Source organism: Homo sapiens, chromosome 1 (genome assembly GCF_000001405.40).
Source record: "Homo sapiens chromosome 1, GRCh38.p14 Primary Assembly".
Lineage (NCBI taxonomy): Eukaryota > Metazoa > Chordata > Mammalia > Primates > Hominidae > Homo > Homo sapiens.
Genome location: NC_000001.11, coordinates 39,231,715 through 39,246,422, shown reverse-complemented (window position 1 = coordinate 39,246,422; position 14,708 = coordinate 39,231,715). Strand labels below are relative to the sequence as shown.

At 44.6% G+C, this 14,708-nt stretch overlaps 1 protein-coding gene across 2 annotated transcripts in view, besides 1 other annotated feature; it reads right to left on the bottom strand.

Annotated features, from left to right (window-relative positions):
• Positions 1-14,708, bottom strand: part of MACF1 (microtubule actin crosslinking factor 1) — a 402,972-nt gene that overhangs the window by 240,716 nt on the left and 147,548 nt on the right. The window lies entirely within an intron of this gene.
• Positions 13,163-13,973: an enhancer, noted in NCBI's record as "H3K27ac-H3K4me1 hESC enhancer chr1:39698122-39698932 (GRCh37/hg19 assembly coordinates)". NCBI's record gives its function as "activates a minimal SCP1, AML or CMV promoter by ChIP-STARR-seq in naive H9 embryonic stem cells {active_cell/tissue: H9 hESC(naive)}" and the evidence as "EXISTENCE:reporter gene assay evidence [ECO:0000049][PMID:30033119]".

The window sequence follows — 14,708 nt, the reverse complement described above, 5'->3', positions numbered from 1 at the left end:
GTTTGTTAAAAGGGCAGTGGATTTGATAAATTCAATTTTAAATATGTTGAATTTAAAATGGCAGCAAAGAAGTTACAAATGAAAATGTTCTTGAAGCAGCTGGAAATACCAGAATTCAGTTTGGGTCAGCTGAGAACTTAACTTTAGAAGTCACATGCACAGAGGTGCTAGCTAAAGACATGGAAATGGGCTTTCTGGATTAGGAGTAAGATAGAAGAGCAGAGTGCTAAGGACTGAGCCTCAGGGAACAGCCAAAATTAGAAGGCAGGAGATGGAAAAGCAATCAACAAAGGACAGAAGAAAAAGACAAAACAAAACAATAACAGTGAAAGAGGTAAGCAAAAATACAAGAAAGTGTAATCAAGATAGGAATGATCACCGGTATCAAATACTACAGCAGAAGTCAAGGAGGATAAAGACTAAGAAAGTTTTTTAACTTTCCTACAAATAAGTAAGAGTGCTTTTGTGAGACTATTTCTCAAGAGAGTGGTAGAGTGAAAATCAGATTATAAATTAATGGTAGGTTTTTTAAAAAGTCAGAAAATATTACATACTTGACATTAAGGATTAAGAAGAGAACTAAGTTAAATGAGGGATTTATTTTTGATAGATAAGATCTGAACATAGGGAATAAAAATCAGGAGGACACTGAATGAATGAATGAATAAATAAATGAATGAATAAATATTGCTTGATTGATTGAGACACAGTCTTGCCATATTGCCCAGGCTAGTCTCGAACTCCTGGGTACAAACAATCCTCCCACTTCAGCCTCCCAAAGTGTTGGGATTACAGGTGTGAGCTACCACTCCCAACCTGAATAAATATTTAAATAAATTGCTGTTGCCAGGCGCAGTGGCTCACACCTGTAATACCACCAATTTGGGAGGCTGATGCTGGGAGATCACCTGAGGTTGGGAGTTTAAGACAAGCCTGGCCAACATGACAAAACCCTGTCTCCACTAAAAATACAAAAAAGTTGTGCATGGCGGCACATGCCTGTAGTCCCAGCTACTCAGGAGGCTGAGACACGAGAATCGCGCTGGAGGGGGTTGCAGTGAGCCAAGATCGCACCACTGCATTCCAGCCTGGGTGACAGAGCAAGACTCCATCTCAAAAATAATAATAATAAAAATAAATTGCAGTTGGTCTTGAGGACCAAGTGAGGTCATCTTATCAACAGATATTAAACACTACAGAGTACTGAAAAGACAAAGGAGGCAACTTGAAATGTAAAGTTAATTTCACACCAAGGCCCTAATGTTTCTTTCTCAAAATTCTGGTTATGTGTTATACCTGTGGTAGCAAAACTTGTACATATTATAAGAAATTTAGATGAGAACTAGCTTATTATGCCTCTCAATCTTTGTCTGACTATAGTAACCAAATAACTATAAAAATAAAACTACTGGCCAAGCACGGTGGCTCATGCCTGTAATCCCATCACTTTGGGAGGTCGAGGTGGGCAGATCACCTGAGATCAGGAGTTGGAGACCACCCTGACCAACACAGCAAAACCCCCGCTCTACTGAATATACAAAAATTGGCCAGGGTGGTGGCTCACGCCTGTAATCCCAGCACTTTGGGAAGCCGAGGCAGATGGATCACCTGAGGTCAGGAGTTTGAGACCAGCCTAGTGAACATGACAAAACCTTTTATCTACTAAAAATACAAAAATTAGCTGGGCATGGTGGCACACGCCTATAATCCTAGCTACTGGGGAGGATGAGGCAGGAGAATTTGCTTGAACCCAGGAGGCAGGGGTGGCAGTGAGCCAAGATGGCGCCACTGCACTTCAGCCTGGGCAACAGAGCGAGACTCCATTTCAAAAAAAAAAAAAATGGCTGGGTGCAGTGGCTCACACCTGTAATCCTAGCACTTTGGGAGGCCAAGGCGGGTGGATCATGAGGTCAGGAGTTCGAGATCAGCCTGGCCAACATAGTGAAATCCCGTCTCTACTAAAAATACAAAAAATTAGCTGGGTGTGGTGGCAGGCACCTGTAATCCCAGCTACTTAGGAGGCTAAGGCAGGAAAATCACTTGAACCTCGGAGGCAGAAGTTGCAGTGAACCGAGATCACGACACTGCACTCCAACCTGGGTGACAGTGCACGACTCCACCTCAAAAAATAAATAAATAAAAATACAAAAATTAGCGGGGCGTGGTGGGGCGCGCCTTACATTCCAGCTACTCAGGAGGCTGAGAAAGGAGAACTGCTTGAACCCAGGAGGGAGACGTTGCAGTGAGCCGAGATTGTGCCACTGCACTCCAGCCTGAGCAACAGAGTGAGACTCTGTCCCCCCCAAAAAAAATTTTTAATAAAAAATAAATAAATAAAACTATCAAAGAGATACAGAGAGAGGTAATGGGAGAGGAGAATGCAAAGAGATTTTTTTTTCCTTGCCTGGAAAACTGTCAATAAAGAAAACAGCAGTCTGTTTCTGAAGCATACTAGACACAGCTCTACCTAAAGAAGAGTAAAGAACTAGCTAACATTTACTGGGTGCTTCTGTGTCAGGAATTTTTCAGACACAGAGATCGGATTTGGAGGGCTCAATTAACATCCCCAAAATCACACATCTACTAAATTGCCAGGCTGATCAAATCCAGATCTATCCATCCTAAAATCCTCATCTCTTCTGCTCATACTAGTTTGCCTGTGAAGTTTTCCACAAATCTCTTAGGAAAATGACCAGTGGACTAAGCATCAAAATTTAGAAGGCCAGGTGCGGTGGCTCAAGCATGTTATTGCAGCACTTTGGGAGGCCAAGACAGGAAGATTACTTGAGCCCAGGAGTTTGAGACCAGTCAGGGCAACACAGTGAGACTCCATCTCTACAAAAAATTTTAAAAGTCAGCCAGGTGTGGTGGTGCATGCCTACAATCCCAGCTACTCAGGAGTCTGAGGTGGGAGGGTTGCTTGAGCCCAGCCGACTGAAGCTGCAGGGAGCTATTATCACACCACTGCACTCCAGCCTGGACAACAGAGTGAGATCCTGTCTCAAAAAAAGAAAAAGTTTTAGAAGCAGCCAACTGAAGCAAGACTGTTCAGGAATCATCAATAAGGATGCTTCTTTCTAACAAATAATTATACCATTCTGTCAACAAATGAGTAAAAAACTGCAATTCAGGGCCTTGCCTGTTTGCACTCCCTGAGAAAATCATTGTCAAAATTAGTAAATGTGTCCAGAGAAGATATATAAATGGCTAATAAACACATGAAAAGATGCTCAACATCATTAGCCATAAGGAAAACATAAATCAAAACCGCAGTGATTAGCGCTGTCTAGGATGTCTATATTATAAAAGACAGATAAGTGTTAGCAAAAAAGCAGAGAATCTAGAACCCTCATACACTGCTGGTGAGGATGTAAAATGGTGCAGTTGCTTTCGAAAATAATGTGATGGTTACTAACAGGTTAAACACAAGTTACCATACGACCCAGCAGTTCTGCCCCTAGGTATGTAATTAAAGAGAACTGAAAACATACGTCCAGACAAAAACTTGTAAATGAATGTTCATAGAGACAGGGGTTGCGGGGGCAAGATGGTGTCTCAGTATGTTACCCAGGCTGGTCTCAAACTCCTGGCCTCAAGAGATCATCTCACCTCAGCCTCCCAAAGTGTTGGGATTACAGGTGTGGGCCACTGTGCTGGCCATAAAGTTTTTTTTTTTTTTTTTTTTTGGAGATAGGGTCTCACTTCCATCACCCAGGCTAGAGTGCAGTGGCGCGATCACAGCTCACTATAGCCTCGACTTCCTGGGCTCAGGTGATCCTCTCACCTCAGTCTCCCAAGGCGCATACAACCATGCTTGGCTAGTTTTTTCTATTCTTTGTAGAGATGGGGTTTTGCCATGTTGCCCAAGCTAGTCTCGAACTCCTGGCCTCAAGCCACCAGCCTCACCCTCCTGAAGTGCTGGGATTACAGGCTTGATCCATCACACCCAGCCATATAGTGATTTCTTAAAATTAGTGAATAATTAGATTTTGAGAGACCAAGTCCAATCCTCCCCAGTGCCCAAGCATTAATAAGTCAAGGAGGGGTCTGCTGTCTGCTTTTTTTTTTTTTTTGAGGCAGAGTCTCACTCTGTTGCTCAGGCTGGCGTGCAGTGGTGCTATCTCGGCTCATTACAGTATCCGCCTCCTGGATTCAAGTGATTCTCCTGCCTCAGCCTCCCGAGTAGCTGGGACTACAGGCATGCGCTGCTACGCCCAGCTAATTTTTTTGTATTTTTAATAGAGACAAGGTTTCGCCATGTTGGCCAGGCTGGTCTTGAACTCCTGGTCTCAAGTGATCCACCCGCCTCAGCCTCCCAAAGTGCTGGGATTACAGGCGTGAGCACTGCACCCGGCCTCCATTTTTTAAAGATTAGCTTAAAGCTATGAAAAAATAAACAGCTTCCCTCAATTTCTCAGTGGCTTTAACAAAAGGAGTAAGTTACACTTACGTGCTTGGAATCCTAATCTTAGCCCAAAGGGACTTTAAAGATTACTTAATTCTAATACCCTCAGTTTACAGATGAGAAAACCATTGCCTAGAGAAGCTAAATAACTTGTATAAGATCACTTAGCTGGAAAGTATCAGAGCTGGGTCCAGATCATTGTCTCCTGACTCTCTTAACAAGGCTTCTATGATGCTTGGAGGGTCAAAATGACAGATTATCAATTTTAAATAATAAGAGTCCCCCCTCCCCGCCATACATACACAAAAAAGAGCAAGGATTGTCACGTAGTACTCTTTTTTTTTTTTTTTTTTTTTTTGAGATGGAGTCTCGCTCTGTCACCCAGGCCGGAATGCAGTGGTGTGATCTCAGCTCACTACAACCTCTGCCTCCAGGGTTCAAGCGATTCTCCTGCCTCAGCCTCCCAAGTAGTTGGTATTACAGGCATGCATCACCACACCCGGCTAATTTTTGTATTTTTAGTAGAGACGGGGTTTCACCATGTTGGTAAGGCTGGTCCCGAACGCCTGACCTCAAGTGATTCACCCACCTTGGCCTCCCAAAGTGCTGACATTACTGGCGTGAGCCACCATGCCTGGCCTCGTAGTATTGACACCTGCCGAAAACTTGATCTAGAAATCTTTCCTCTAAACAATTAAAAGGAAACGTAAGCAGCCCAATTTCCTTGACTCAAACTATGTTGAAGAGCAATATATAGGGCAGAGGAGAAAGTTTTAAAGAGAAAAGTAATGTTATTTACTCTCTCCTACACTTATTAAAAGATACAGGGAAAGGGAAAGTGAGCCTAGTAATTTCAGATAGATTTCTGAATGGCAGATCTCCAAATTGTAAAAACAGAAACCGATATTGATTCATTGGCCAAATTTGTCTTCAAGGAAAAGCCCAACACTAAAAAAAAAAAAAAAAACAGATTATAGTTGTCCTAGACTTCTTTACTCTGGAAAGAACTATGCTTAAATGCAGGGAATAAAAGTAGCAGCTGGGAATCCCTGTTGGAGAGCGGGGGTGGGAGGGGAACAAAGTGTGAGGTTCTTTGCATATAAGAATTTTATCATATCTCTGTTTTGAGAATTCCCTAAATTGTGAGAAATTTAACAGTGGTACCGGTCAACCCGGATTAACAGATTCTCTAAGAATGTGGATGATTCTAAAATCCACAGGCTGGGTGCAGTGGCTCACGCCTGTAATCCCAGCACTTTAGGAGGCCAAGATGGGCAGATCACCTGAGATCAGAAGTTCGAGACCAGCCTGACCAACATGAAGAAACCCTGTTCTCTACTAAAAATACAAAATTAGCCAGGCGTGGTGGCACATGCCTGTAATCCCAGCTACTCGGGAGGCTGAGGCAGGAGAATCGCTTGAACCCGGGTGGCGGAGGCTGCAGTGAGCCAAGATCGCACCATTGCATGCCAGCCTGGGCAACAAGAGTGAAACTCCATCTTAAAAAAATAAAATCCACAAAATGTAGCTTTACTTTGATAGGCAGGCACTTAAGCACAGGGAATAGAAAATCCAGAGTAAAGCCCAAGTCCAAATATAGGCCCATATGTAGACCTGAGAAGCATTTAGAGTGAAATTAAGCCCTAAAAAATCAGGTCCAGGCAAAGACAGCCACAAACCACTACCATATAGTCACATGTAGGCAACAAAGGTAACACTCCTTTCCTTAGCATCTAACCAGCACTACTTTGTCAATTTCTTAAATTAAACTCCACTGCCCGTCTCATTCTGGTATTTCCCATAGACATGAATACGCAAAAAGTATGAAGTTCCACCCAGTGATTAGGGAGCCAGTGAATTGACTCATGTGGCCAAAACAGAGGCTGTATAGGACAGAATACCTGGAATCAGTGCTACCCCATATTCAACTAGAGAGTCTCAAACAGAAATAGAGAAAGTGTAAGTGGGCCAGGTGTGGTGGCTCATGCCTGTAATCCTAGCACTCGGGAAGGCCAAAGATTCCTTGAGCACAGGAGTTTGAGACCAGCCTAGGGAACATAGGGATAACTTGTCTCTTAAAACAGAAAGACAGAAAGACGGACGGACGGAAGGAAGGAAGGAAGGGTTGGTTGTAAGCATTATTAAAAATTTGAAAACTTTTGCTGGTATATATGGAAATTTTATCTAAAATTCCAGGAAAGCCAGGGGCTTCTAGATTGCATATACAAAAATGGAAAGAACTGCTCTATCTGCTAGATTAAATACTGGGCTTTTCCTTTCTAACTACTAACCTGTGAAGTCAACAGGAACTGACCAGAAAAAGCATTTTTCTCCCTCCTAAGGAGTTCATACTTTCATGTTCTCTTTAGGGGGATACACTTTATCAGCTAACAGCACCCAGAGATATGGCATAGATAATTTAAATAAGACCTCATTTAGAAACCTAGATTTCTCTTTTTGATGGTTCTGGTATATAAGCAGAACCCTTACATATGTATGTTTACATTCTAAATTAGGTTGTTTATTTCAGATGCTTATATCCTTAACAAATCTCTTTTAAGATTGGATCAGAAGTGTTCTCAATAAGGAGGAATTAATTTGCTTATCCCAAAGTAAGCTGTTTCCCAAAAGGTTATCAGGGAATCCAAGAGATTCCAAGATCAACTAAATCTAGAAGTTGGGAGACCTGGTTTGTGGTGTTTTTTGTTTGTTTGTTTGTTTGTTTGTTTGTTTTTTTGAGACAGAGTCTCGCTCTGTCACCCACGCTGGAGTGCGGTGGCACGATCTCAGCTCACTGCAACCTCCATCTCCCGTGTTCAAGCGATTCTCCTGCCTCAGCCTCCCAAATAGCTGGGATTATAGGCGCCAGCCACCACTCCCAGCTAATTTTTGTATTTTTAGTAGAGATGGGGTTTCACCATGTTGGCCTGGCTGGTCTCGAACTCCTGACCTCAAGTGATCCACCCCCTCGGTCTCCCAGAGTGCTGGGATTACAGGCATGAACCACCATGCCTAGCCACCTGGTTGGTTTTGTCCTTACGTTGGTCTACCTGCCAAAGATGGCATTAATCTGGGGTGTACTTGGGGAGCAAAGCAAAGGATGCTTGAGTCGCAAAAAAAAATCTCAATCCCTAATTCTCAGCCCAAAATCAAATAATTCCAATTTAGAGCAATAACTCTGATTAGCAGTGAATCTCTCTCTGAAATATCCCAAGATGAGCAAATGTTATTGAAACTGTAAGGCTGGGGGCCTGGGAAGAGATGAAAAATCACCAAGGATTTAAGAAAAGCTTTGGCTGGCCTCCAATTTCTAACAATGCTATGATGTGTTCCTCTAGCTTCTCCCTCCCTGAGCTTCCTGTCATCACACAGCACTGAGGCAGAGGTCCAACAGGCAGCATCAGCTACAAACAGGCAGCAAGGAGCCAGAGCACTGGAATTCAACTACAAAGTTCAGGGGACAAGCTCAAGGTAGGATTGATTCAGTTCCTCCAACGGTTAGAGACAAAGTATGAAACAATCAGCTAGGGGCCAAACCCAAGGGCAGGGGCCACTCTTAGCTAAATCCCTCCCAGTGACTGCAATAGAACCCTCTGGGGAGCTCAGGAAGGGGTGTGCTAAGTTCTATAATATAAGCTGTCATATATTTGGCTCCTCTGTATCTCCCTCTTCCCTAGGAGACAAGTGTGAAGGAAGGAGCTTAGATAAGACAACCCCTCAAACCCATTCCCTCTCCAAGAGACCTACCCTCCACAGGCACAGGTCCCCAGATGAGAAGTCTGCTACCTTCATTTCTCATCTTTTTACTAAACTCAGAAGCGGTGACAGCAGTCAGGGACAGACGCACATTTCTCACACCTTCCCTTCATCTAAGAGATGACAGGGAAAACTGCAGTCAAAGCTCGGTGCTCCCTCTGGCAATTTTTAAATCCTTTTTTATTCCATGAGAAGTCGTTTTTAGGGAGAACGGGAGTTGAGACAAGCTGTATTTCAGAAATGCTGTCGTAATGGTTTTTAACACCTTTTACTCTTCTTACTGGTGCTATTTTGTAGAATAAGGAACAACATTGACAAGTTTTGTGGGGCTTTTTATATACTTTTTTAAAATCTCAAACTTCTATTTTTATGTTTAACGTTTTCATTAAAATTTTTTTGTAACTGGAGCCACAACGTAAGAAATAATGGGGAAAAAACTGCCTTGTTTCAACAGTTTTTGCTAATTTTTAGGCTGAAAGATGACGGATGCCTGGAGTTTACCTTACGTTTAATTAATATCAGTATTGTCTAAAAAAAAAAAAAGAATCAGCTGGGGGCATAGTTAGCAGGAAGAACAAGTAATTTTGATCAGAAGATTCATGATTGATTGATCCTTAGCTCCATCCCTCACTAGCTGTATCGTTTTGGCAAAGTCACTTCACTCCTCTAATTCTCATTTTCCCTAGCTGTTAAAATTAAGGGGATAAAACACCTTTACTTACTTCAGGGTTATTTTAAGGATTAAGACAGATAAGAATGTGCTTCATACGCTATAACACTATTGAAATATTAGTTACTCAAGGTAACAAGTACTTATTGGATACTTCTCATGTGCTATGTGCAGCACTTAACAGAGAAAGTAGCATAATACAATCCCAGTCCTCAATGAGTACTGTAACAGAGAACATCGATGAGTGAACACACAGGCATCTCTTCAAGGCAGTATGAAATACAGATGGAGTTGCAATTGATTTAATCTGAGGAACAGAGGTCAGAATCTCAGGAAGGTGATACTGGAGCTGGGCCTAGAAGGTGAAGTGGGTGATGGTCAGGCAGAGGAGGCTGGGACGTGCATTCTAGGGAGAGAAATAAATAAGCAAGGAGGTGTGAAAGTACACAGTGTTTAGGGGGCAGTGAGTTGTCTCATGTGGCTATAGCGCAAGCTACAAAAAACAGAGTGCTTAGAAATGAAGCTAGACAGGTGGGTTGGAAACGCTGCAAAGTGCTCTACATCAGGAAAGAGTTAGGTGACATCAAACTCTAGAGGCAACTAGTAGCCATGGAAGAAATTTACAAAAGGAAATCACGGCTGGACGCGGTGGCTCATGCCTGTAATCTCATCACTTTGGAAGGCCGAGGCAGGCAGATCACAAGCCCAGGAGAGCAGCCTGGCCAATATGGTATAACCCTGTCTCTACTAAAAATACAAAAATTAGCCAGGCTTTGGTGGCACATGCTTGTAGTTCCAGCTACTCAGGAGGCTGAGGCAGGAGAGTCGCTTGAACCCAGGAGGCAGAGGTTGCAGTGAGCTGAGATTGCGCCACTGCACTCCAGCCGGGCAACAAAGCAAGACTCCATCTCCAAAAAGAAAAAAAAGGAAATTACAATTTCTTTTCTCCTTACTTCTCTCTCTTTCTTCTTTGTCCTAACACTATAAACAATAAGACACAATATTTGCCCTCCAGTGATAATATAGCTGAAAGATACACCATGTATATAAACACTCTGGATGCTTTAACAAAAGCACATAAGGAGTATAGTCAGGGGCACAAAGAAAGGCTAGTCAGTTCCACATCAGAGAAGTCAGGAAAATACTTACTGAAGAGGTGTTAAGTTTGTGTTATCCAGGCAGAACAAACTTGGGAAAGATATTCCAAGCACAGGGAGCAGAATGAACAAAGATACAGAGTCATAAAATAGCATGGCACATAGTTCAGCAAGAACTCAAGGTATGAGGGAAACTTGGTGCTATGAGCCTGGAAAGGTAGGCAGCAACCAGAGCCAGTTCTGCATGGGTTAAGAGCACGGTTTCTAGACTTTAGGTTGCCTGAATTTTAAAATTTCAGTTCTGCCTTTTTCTAGCAGCATGATCTTGAACAAATTACTTACCCTCTCTAAGTAATTTATAAAATGGGGATATTAACAGAACCCACAGCATAAGATCACTGAAGGATTAAATGAAATAATCCATGTAAAGGACTTAGTATACAGAATGTCTGATTTAGACTAGGCATGGTGGCTCATGCCTGTAATTCCAAGACACTGGGAGGCCAAGGTGGGAGGACTACTTGAGGTCAGGAGTAGAAGACAAGCCTGGGCAACATACCAAGACCCCATCTCTACAAACACACACACAAAAATTAGCCAGGCACAGTGGCATGTGCCTATAAACCTAGCTATTTGGGAGGCTGTGGTGGGAGGATCACTTGAGCCCGGGAGTTGGAGGCTGTAGTGAGCTATGATTGTACCACCGCACTCTAGCCTGGCAACAGAGTAAACCCTGTCACACACACAGAGAGAGAATACGTCTGATTTACAGGAAGTCTTCAAGATACTATTACTACCATTGTTATTATAGAAAACTTTATTAGGAAACTATTATAATGGTCAAGGCAACAGACACAGAGGCCCTGAACAAAAGCAGCGATATGGAGATGGAGAAGAGAAGACAGATGCATGCAATCTTTCTGAGCTACAAGTGATTAACTGGACTTGGTAACAAGGGAGAGATTATAGGCAGTACTGAATCAAATAGGTTCCTAACTTGAACAACTGGCTACATGAGTGAAAATACTTAACAATTTAGGGTGTGTTAAATAAAAGCTATGGCTAGCACTGCAACCTCCCTGCCTGATTCTCCTGACTCAGCCTGCCGAGTGCCTGCGATTGCAGGCTCGCGCCACCACGCCTGACTGGTTTTGGTGGAGACGGGGTTTCGCTCTGTTGGCCAGGCCAGTCTCCAGCCCCTAACCGCAAGTGATCCACCAGCCTCGGCCTCCCAAGGTGCCGGGATTGCAGACGGAGTCTCGTTCACTCAGTGCTCAATGGTGCCCAGGCTGGAGTGCAGTGGCGTGATCTCGGCTCGCTACAACCTCCACCTCCCAGCCGCCTGCCTTGGCCTCCCAAAGTGCCGAGATTGCAGCCTCTGCCCGGCCGCCACCCCGTCTGGGAAGTGAGGAGCGTCTCTGCCTGGCCGCCCATCATCTGGGATGTGAGGAGCCCCTCTGCCTGGCTGCCCAGTCTGGAAAGTGAGGAGCGTCTCCGCCCGGCCGCCATCCCACCTAGGAAGTGAGGAGCACCTCTTCCCTGCCGCCATCACATCTAGGAAGTGAGGAGCGTCTCTGCCCGGCCGCCTATCGTCTGAGATGTGGGGAGCGCCTCTGCCCCGCCGCCCCGTCTGGGATGTGAGGAGCACCTCTGCCCAGCCGCGACCCCGTCTGGGAGGTGAGGAGCATCTCTGCCCGGCCGCCCCGTCTGAGAAGTGAGGAGACCCTCTGCCTGGCAACCGCCCCGTCTGAGAAGTGAGGAGCCCCTCCGCCCGGCAGCCGCCCCATCTGGGAAGTGAGGAGCGTCTCCGCCCGACAGCCACCCCGTCTGGGAGGGAGGTGGGGGGGTCAGCCCCCCGCCCGGCCAGCCGCCCCGTCCGGGAGGGAGGTGGGGCGGTCAGCCCCCCGCCAGGCCAGCCGCCCCGTCCGGGAGGGAGGTGGGGGGGTCAGCCCCCCGCCAGGCCAGCCGCCCCGTCCGGGAGGTGAGGGGCGCCTCTGCCCGGCTGCCCCTACTGAGAAGTGAGGAGCTCCTCTGCCAGGCCAGCCGCCCCGTCCGGGAGGGAGGTGGGGGGGTCAGCCCCCTGCCCGGCCAGCCGCCCCGCCCGGAAGGTGAGGGGCGCCTCTGCCCGGCCGCCCCTACTGGGAAGTGAGGAGCCCCTCTGCCCGGCCACCACCCCGTCTGGGAGGTGTGCCCAACAGCTCATTGAGAACGGGCCAGGATGACAATGGCGGCTTTGTGGAATAGAAAGGAGGGAGAGGTGGGGAAAAGATTGAGAAATCGGATGGTTGCCGTGTCTGTGTAGAAAGAAGTAGACATGGGAGACTTTTCATTTTGTTCTGTACTAAGAAAAATTCTTCTGCCTTGGGATCCTGTTGATCTGTGACCTTACCCCCAACCCTGTGCTCTCTGAAACATGTGCTGTGTCCACTCAGGGTTAAATGGATTAAGGGCGGTGCAAGATGTGCTTTGTTAAACAGATGCTTGAAGGCAGCATGCTCGTTAAGAGTCATCACCACTCCCTAATCTCAAGTACCCAGGGACACAAACACTGCGGAAGGCCGCAGGGTCCTCTGCCTAGGAAAACCAGAGACCTTTGTTCACTTGTGTATCTGCTGACCTTCCCTCCACTATTGTCCTATGACCCTGCCAAATCCCCCTCTGTGAGAAACACCCAAGAATTATCAATAAAAAATAAATAAAAAAAAAAAAAAAAAAAAAAGCTATGGCTAGGTAACATACAGATGAATGTGTAAAATACACCATGACACTTGCCTTTGGCTTAGGCAAGAATCCAAGAAAAGGCTCTATCACTGCCTCCTTATCCAGATCTTGCAGTGTTAAAATCATGCTCACCTGCAGTACCCACTAAACAAGTGGCCCTAAGAAGACATGTGTGATTTATGTAACCACCTCCTTACCCACGGTTTACTGAACTATAGATGGACAATTGGCCCATGGAGGAAAAGAAGACCTAAGCCCATCAGACTTTCTGTGTTTGTGCATCCAGAATCATGTGGCCTCAGGGGTTTACGTCACTGTTTGAGGCACAGCCGCCATGGCTCACTCGTAGCAATAAACGAAAAGCAGAGAAATGAATATAGGAGGCACACAGAAGTAAAATGAAAGAACACAAGGCCCCATAAACAAGAAAGACCTGGGTTGGCCAGGCACAGTGGCTCACGCCTATAATCCCAGCACTTTGGGAGACTTAGGTGGGTGGATCACCTGAGGTTGGGAGTTCGAGACCAGCCTGACTAACGTGGAGAAACCCCATCTCTACTAAAAGTACAAAATTAGCCGGGCGTGGTGGTGCATGCCTGTAATCCCAGCTACTCGGGAGGCTGAGGCAGGAGTATTGCTTGAACCCAGGAGGCGGAGGTTGCAGTGAGCCGAGATCGTGCCACTGCACTCCAGCCTGGGCAACAAGAGTGAAACTCCATCTCAAAAAACAAAAAACAAAACACAACAACAACAACAACAACAACAAAAACAAGAAAGACCTGGGCAGCACAGTGAGAACCCATCTCTACAAAAAAATTTAAAAATTAGCCGGGTGTGGTAGTGCATGCCTGTAGTTCCAGCTACTCAGGAGGATGAGGTGGGAGAATCACTCAAGCCCAGGAGGTTAGGGCTGCAGTGAGCTGTGATCTTCCCAATGTACTCCAGCCTGGGCAACAGGGTAAGACTCTGTCTCAAAAAAACAAACAAACAAAGAAACAAACAAACAAAAAAAAAAAAAAAAAAAAAACAAAGAGAGTATGAGAGTAGTTTTCTGATAACTGTTTAGTTTTCATAAAGCCCAGCTGCATCTAGACATCAGATTCTGTGAGATCATCCCATATCCATTTCTACTTATGTTTCTTTGCATCCCATGCAACAAAACAATCCCAGCAGCTACAATGGATGAGACTGCCCAAAAAGAATACAGAGAACAAAACCAAAAAATGGCCAAGGTTAGGATCCTGGGGAACACCATCATGGAAGAGTCAGACAGAGGAAGAAAAGCCAGTGAAACAGGCAGAAAAAAAGGCATTCATAGAGGAAAGAGGTAATTCAGGAAAAAGCAATGTTCTAGAAGTCATTGTAAGAGAGGGTTTTAAGGAGTAGACGACAGTATCAAATGCTACAGAGAAATCAAATAAGAGGAAGATAAAACTAGGCTACTGGATAGGGCAATTAAGGGATCACTGGTGACCTTTCCCTTTCCCAGAGAAGCACTAATTATTATTATAATTCAAAAACTTTGTTTTCAGATTCTAACTGCCACAGTAGTCATACTGTTTATCTTTAGGTGAGTCTTAACATGCCTCTGTTTTGGTTTCTCTTTTATTTAAAATAATAATACCATAATAATATATTATTATTATATTTTATATATCTAATATATAACAATTATTATTATTATCTTTAGGTGAGTCTTAACATGCCTCTGTTATGGTTTCTCCTCTATTTAAAATAATAATAATGATAATAATAATCTTCATTCAGCCCTAACCATTCTGGAAATATTCTGTATTTTAGACTACCTGGTGGTAAAATTCATGTAAAAATTCATCAAGTTAAACATTTAAGATTCATGCACTTTAAGAGAAAGAGAGAAAATCCCCCTCTATCATCCTTCCATAGTATTCAGATTAAAAAATAAAAATACACTGGGTGTAGTGGCTCACGCCTGTAATCCTAACACTTTGGGAGGCAGAGGTAGGAGGATCGCTTTAGCCCAGGAGTTTGATACCAGAGTGGGCAACATAGTGAGACCCTGTGTCTATTTTAAAATAAA